Source organism: Homo sapiens, chromosome 10 (genome assembly GCF_000001405.40).
Source record: "Homo sapiens chromosome 10, GRCh38.p14 Primary Assembly".
NCBI classification, from domain to species: Eukaryota; Metazoa; Chordata; class Mammalia; order Primates; family Hominidae; genus Homo; species Homo sapiens.
In genome coordinates, this window is record NC_000010.11 from 4,127,474 (window position 1) to 4,134,395 (window position 6,922).

The 6,922-nt window shown below is 39.2% G+C and overlaps 2 annotated features.

Moving 5' to 3' along the window:
* Window positions 312-951: an enhancer, noted in NCBI's record as "OCT4-NANOG hESC enhancer chr10:4169977-4170616 (GRCh37/hg19 assembly coordinates)". NCBI's record gives its function as "activates a minimal SCP1, AML or CMV promoter by ChIP-STARR-seq in naive H9 embryonic stem cells {active_cell/tissue: H9 hESC(naive)}" and the evidence as "EXISTENCE:reporter gene assay evidence [ECO:0000049][PMID:30033119]".
* Window positions 690-890: a silencer, noted in NCBI's record as "peak849 fragment used in MPRA reporter construct". NCBI's record gives its function as "represses an SCP1 promoter by STARR-seq MPRAs in K562 erythroleukemia cells {active_cell/tissue: K562}" and the evidence as "EXISTENCE:reporter gene assay evidence [ECO:0000049][PMID:32103011]".

The following is a 6,922-nucleotide window of genomic DNA, read 5'->3' on the forward strand; positions in this document are numbered from 1 at the left end:
CTGTCTGGAAAAACCAACCAACCAACCAACAAACAACAAAAAAACCACTATAAACCAAGTTCCTCCCAAAGTTACTTCAGCCTACACCCAGGAAGGAACACGGACAGCTTAGAGGTTAAAAGCAAGATGGAGTCAGTTAGGTTAGATCTCTTTCACTGTCTCAGTCATAATTTTGCAAAGGCCATTTCAAAGTGACCACTAAAAGGAACTGGGATTGCAGGGTGCAGAGATTCAAACACAGTGCTGGGACCACTCTCTTCTGGATTTGACTCATGCGTGAGAGGAATAAACCTATACATTTTACTTAGCCACCTGCTTTTCGGAATTTGTGGGCAAGCTAGATTTTACCGAATGCAGACTAACCTGCTCCAACTCAAACAAAGAACCAGCTTTTAAAATTGTGGTTTATTATATAGGTTGTAATGTTTTGTCTTCTAGAATCTGCAGACACAAACAACCCATACGCTTCATTCCACAATTCACAGACCGTGGTCATTAGCAAAAAAGGTCAGAGGGAAAATTCATGGGCCTTATCAGAAAATTATTAGCCTGATAGATCAATGCTGTGTTTGAAGTATTCTAATGTAATCAACTGCCTCTGCAAAGTGAACAAAAGGAGGCCATTATGCAAATAAGAACCATTCATTTCAGAGGAAGGAGCTTTGGTTTCCTGGTACAGAGTCAACAAAATGAGGAAGCTGCGAAAGCCCTGGCTCATGTAGTTAACCTTGGGTCACTGTACCCTCCAGCCTCAGCACAGTTAATCCATGAATACTTGCAGTCAACAGCCTCTAAAGGTCACCAGACTCTGAAGTCCAGTTACTATTTGTTACCAAGTTTACAATTCAGAATTTATAGGAAATAAATATGTAGCCTGCATCACTAATGTGCCAAGCTTTGGGACAGGTTTCTTTCTAATTAGATCTCTGAAGGATTTTCCTGAAGGAGTCCCTCATGCTCTTGATTTCATCAACAGGCACTGTGCGGAAGCCCCTCCACCATGATGGTTTTGCTCAAGAAACCTTCATCTTGCAAAAGACAAAATGACAACAAATTCCGTTCCAAGATGCCAATTGGCTTTATTGACATCCTAGAATCAGGCAGCACTATATTCTCTAAAATGGAATATGTGTTCCAATGAACTGAACACAGGAGATTGGCTTTACAGATAGAAAAAGGGCTGAAGAAAGAGAAACAAAGAATAAAAAGTGTATTGGGTGCTTCCAAGTTACTTTCCTTGTAAGCCACTGTGTCAGAGGCATTTGAACCACAGCGACTCCATCTTGAGTGAGGACTAGGAAAACGAGGCTGGGACTTGCTGAGCTGCATTTCCAGAAAGTCAGGCATCCTTAGCTTCTAGATGTTTATTAAGCAGACCCAGACTCGGGAGTGTCTAGATATCCCGATATCTGGAGAACAAAGGCATTCCTAATTTTGCTTTAAAGATAATAATATCGATTCTTGCAAAATATAGTAATTGAGAAAATTAATCCTTTATCACAAACCCTTGTAGCAGAGCTTATCTCTTCATGATCTTTTTTATCCTACATATACAAGTATTGTACCTAGGGTGGACACATTCCTCCTCTTACTTTCGGGTCTGTCCTACTCTGTCTGTGGAGTAGCCGTATTTTCACCACTTTACTTTCTTAATAAACTTGCTTTTACTTTGCACTGCAGACTCACCCTGAATTCTTCCTTACGCGAAATCCAAGAACCCTCTCTTGGGGTCTGGATCAGAATCGCTTTCCTGTAACAACTGGGGCCAGAAAGAAGAAACAATAGAAAAACTGATGAGTTCACATGATGTGACTTCAGATTAAGGATTTAAACACAGGGAACTTCATTATCCTGCCCATTGAAGACTAAACCTGTCCTGTTCAGGAAGTTAGGCTATCTCTCTCCTGGTTCCTCAGAGGGCAGAGAACTGCTCAGTTTGGGTTTGGGTTTGGTAAGCCTGGGTGACCCCACTATGATTTGTCTGGTCTGTTGCGATCGCAGGAGTTTAGTCCAAAATAATGGCCTCAAATTTTGTTGAACAATCTATACGGAAAGCAATATCCACCTCTGAACATTTCACAAAACACATCAGTGTAAAGTGTTGAGAAATCTTTTTAACTTAAAAAAAAAACAAACAAAATCTCAAGATTTCACAATGTTTTTTGATTCTGACATCTCTCCCTCTCCCACCTCCATCCCCTTCACTCAAGGTGCACCTATCAATAGCTTGAAAAACACAAGTGTGGGATAGGCTGTTTTGGATCATAAAGTTCTGCTCAAAGGGTGAATCCATTAGCCACAAGTCACTGGAGCTACTGTCTGCAATGACAAATTTGTTTCCACTAATTGAGAAGCCAGTAAAGGCATCAACTACAGATGTAAAATTTTCTTCATGTACAAGAAGGGGGAAAAAACAGTAACTCCACTGTGGCACTACCACTTTGCACTTGCTATTTATGGGATGGTTTTCTTCACAAGGAAAAAAAAAAGTACAAGTGGGAGCATTGGCAACTGTTAATTACAATGAGATAATGATCATTCGATAAGGAAAGAAATGGATTATGAGTCAAAAAATAAATATTGTGGAATCTGCGTGTAACACAATGTTTATTTTGGCACTTTGACTCTCCCACTAAATGATCTACGGGCAAAATTCAGTTGCAGACCTGCGATCGGGGGCTCCATGCCCCTATGACTTGTGCTGTCTAGATGGTGAGAGACGCTGAGAAGCGACCGCAGGAATCCCATCCTAGAGTGGTGGCCTCCTCTAGAGTGGTGAGACCTGTGACTGACTTATTCTAACCAATGCAGCGGCAGGGATGGCAGGTCCTTGTCTTGATAGAACAGCTGCTTCTGTGGCAGGGATGTGGTACAGCTGCCACAATATCATCATGTCTGTGATATGAGAGATCGAAATAGACACCCCTATATCGACAAACATGGACCCTAAGCTAAAGGGAACGGAGTTACCTATGTCTCAAAGGTTCAGAGCCTGGCTGGTGTGGCAAATTTCCAAATTTACACAGGTACAAAACAAACCACACTCGCTAAGCTCCCTCACAATGGTTGCTATCAGACCCCTCAAAGCTCTGATTTGCAACCCAGACCACTACCATTCTGATAGCTTTACAAACATTCTTTTCTGATAAACAATGGCAGACTTGAAGGCAGCTTCAGCAGCTTATAGAGGCTGTGCACAAACTGTTTTTGTTTCCTGCAGTTCATCTGTTGACATAAAGGGCTAATCCCACCTCATTTTAATGCTGAAACCCTGCCCCAAAGTGAACACGGGATGTATGTTACATACACATTCACCCATTGCACATGCGTTCCACTCTCCTCTTAAATATGTATAGCTTTTCCCCCAAACTTGCAGACCATGTGTGAGTCTATTGTGTAATAAGACCCCATGAGGCATAAAACCAACCCCTTCCTTCCTTCCTCAAAGAGAGAGCACCTTTGCCTCATTCTACGTAGTTCCTGCTGGAGTCTCCTGTGGTTGTGGTTGGGTCGTCTAAATTACTACAAAGAGCAAAAAAGCTCTGACATAAAAATGGTCTCTTATTTTCTTAATCTTTGTGTTTCTCAGGTGCACTGTTGTGAAGAGACCTCAGCATACGTGTCCAGAGCAGTTAGTAAACATTTAGTGAAAATCCATAAAGAATTTGTAAATGCTCTCTCTATAAATCCCTACCTGGACTCTTTCATTTTTTCCCCCAGTTTCCAGTAAGAGTACAAAGTTATGATTTTTACACGAAGATTTGTTTTCATCCCCTATTACTGTACCTTATGACATCCTGGCAAATAATAACAATAAGAAATGGGAACGATAACAGTAATTCTACTTTTGAAACACCTTTTGTCTGTAAACATATATACACTTTCTGTAAGTGTCAAGGGATATATTTAATCATGATACTAATCCCCGAGAACTTTGTGTTTTGTCTCAAAATTCAAATAGACACAGGGCCCTTTGTTTGGACTTAGTTGGTTGCACAACGCTTCCAAAGTTAGCGTGTACTGTGAAGTCAACTGGGATTTTCAAGACATTTTTATGTACACTAAATATGTCTTAACATGATCTTAATGAAAGATGTAATAATTGACTGGCAGATGGAAGAGGCAGCAAGAAAATTGTAGTTTAGTAAAATAAAGTTTCACATTACTATATCAATATTAGGTTTTACACTAAAAGGAAAGCTAAATTTAGGAGCTTTATTACATACTAGCATTGACATGAGTCATTTCCTCTCCATTAAAGCAACCAAAACCCCAACTTCCTATCTTAGGCTATAATCTGCACCAGCCAGCAGATTTCAGATCTCAATTCTGCATGTTTGAGTTCCTCAAAAAAAAAAAAAAAAAAAAAAAAAAATCTCAGTTTAAGTTTGTACTTTCAGTGGAATTTTAAATAATTCCAAGAATGAGAATAGCTAACATCAAGCATCAGATATTAGTCAGAACAGTTTCACTTTGAGCAATAAAATTAGATCTCAGTTGAAATTTGCAGATACTGGGAAAGGAAAAGTGAAGTACTTACATCTTCACAAAATAAAATGACTTGTATCAAATTGAGCACACCCACTAACACAGACACTCACAGACACACACAGCGAGACAACACAGAGATACAGATGACACACACACACTCACAGACATATACAGCGAGACAACACAGAGATAGAGGACACACAGACACACTCGCAGACACACATGGAGATAGAGACAGAGGCACAGACACAGACATACACCAACACAGACACAAGCAGAAACACAGACACAGACACACACACACACACAAGGAGATGCACAGAGACACAGACACACACACACACACCAACACAGACACAAGCAGATGCAGAGACACAGACACACACACATAGACACACACCAACACAGACACACAGAGACACAGGCACATATACACACACCAACATAGACACAAGCAGATACAGAGACACACACACACACGCACAGACACCAACACAGATACAAGGAGATACACAGAGACACAGGCACACACACACACAGACACACCAACACAGGCACAAGCAGATACACAGAGACACAGGCATACACAGAGACACACCAACACAGACACATGCAGATTGTGTGAGACAGACACACGTGCACACAAACTTCACCAACACGCACACACCCAATAATGATAAATGCTTCTCCACTTCTGTGTTTTGGTGACACTAATAATCTTGTACTTTCTTTGACACAGTAGCCCATTTTCTGTTCAAAAGCAACAGAAAAATATGTCATCTAGTTTACTGTTTTTAGAATTGTAGGATATTTTTGTTTCAGCCTCAATAAAATTACTTCTAAGTCCTTCTAAGTTTTGAGTGTCTTCTAATTTCTTCATTCCTCTAATGAAAGGTCCGGTCATGTGTAGATATCACCCCTGTGGGGACCCCCTCACATTGCACCTGACCTTGGCTGTGCTGCTGTCTGCCTGTGGATGGAGTGGATTGACAACGGTGGCATTCACATGATGAGAAAAATGCTCCTGGGGCCGCGCTCCTGGCGAATGGCTTTGGAAATCAACAAAACACAGTCCCACTTTTGTCTGTGACCAGTCTTCATGGCATATCAGTTAGAGTGGTGTGCTAAATTTTGAGACCAGGTGGACAGAAGTGAGTTAAATGTTTTCAAGTGATCAATAAAGACAAATACCTTTATTGGGTACTCATCTCAAGCTCTAGGAATGGAAAAATACAAAGATGCGTAGTCCGTATTACTCCTTCAAGGAGTTTAATAATTAATTGAACATAAAATTCCTATATATGTGTATAAATACATATATTTTAATACCTACACAATGAAAACATCATTGTGTAGCAAGTAGTCCTGTAGGAAGGTTAAAACCTTGTTTTCATCCTTATCTTATTTTTCTCACCTCTCGTAATCCAAACTATTGAAGGACATTGTTGAAGCGAGTAACAAGGACTAAAGGACCAGAAGGTCACAAAAAAGAATGCATCACTGAAGAAATAAAAAACTAAATAAATGACTCAACTTTTTCTCACAAAGCTAGTCAATAAATTCAATGTTTTAAATGTGACCTGTGGACACCATTTAGACAGGTTTAGAAATATTGTATGTTGTTGAATCTGAGTCTGAATGGATTCAATGACCTTGTGAAGGAAACAATGACCCCTATTTTGTCTAGTGAAACATGTAGCATTTACAAGCAGAACCTACTCCAATTAAAATAGAACTAAAATTAAATTACTTAAGCATCCAGCATACTAAAAAAACTAAAATCATCATTTTACTCACAAGGTAGAATCAACCTAAGTTATTTATCTCTGTATCCAATCCTTAAATACTTCGTTAAACTTGCAAAATTTTAAAGTTGAATAAAATTCATCAACGTTTATCTGAGTGTGTTTCTGCTGTGTGCACATATAATTTAATATAATAAAATACTTATTGGATTTTGACATTAATTTTCATCTTAAATGAAAGCTGCTGCTATTTCTTAAATTAGGTAGACAACAGAGCAGTCTCTATTATAGTACAGTTAAAATCCTCCTCTGTGAGCCTATCTTCTGTCCTGGAATACACATTCATTCACTAAAGGTTAATGAGCACCTACTAGTCCACCAACTTGTGTTAAATCAATTTAAAAAAATTCCAGCCCTCATGGAGGATACTTTTTACATAATTAATTATAAATATAACATGTAAGTAAATTATATGGTATTCCAGAAAATGATAAGTGCTAAGAAAAAAATAGGGTAAGAGGTATCTTAAATGTTGGGTTTTGAGGGGTTGGGTTGGAATTTTGAGAAGAAAAAAAAACTGCTTAGTGTAGACCTCTAGTTGAGGAGATAACTTTTGGTAAAATCTCCATCATTAAGAAGGCCCTAGACTTTGGACTTCTCAGCCTCCATATGTATAAAAAAAATTC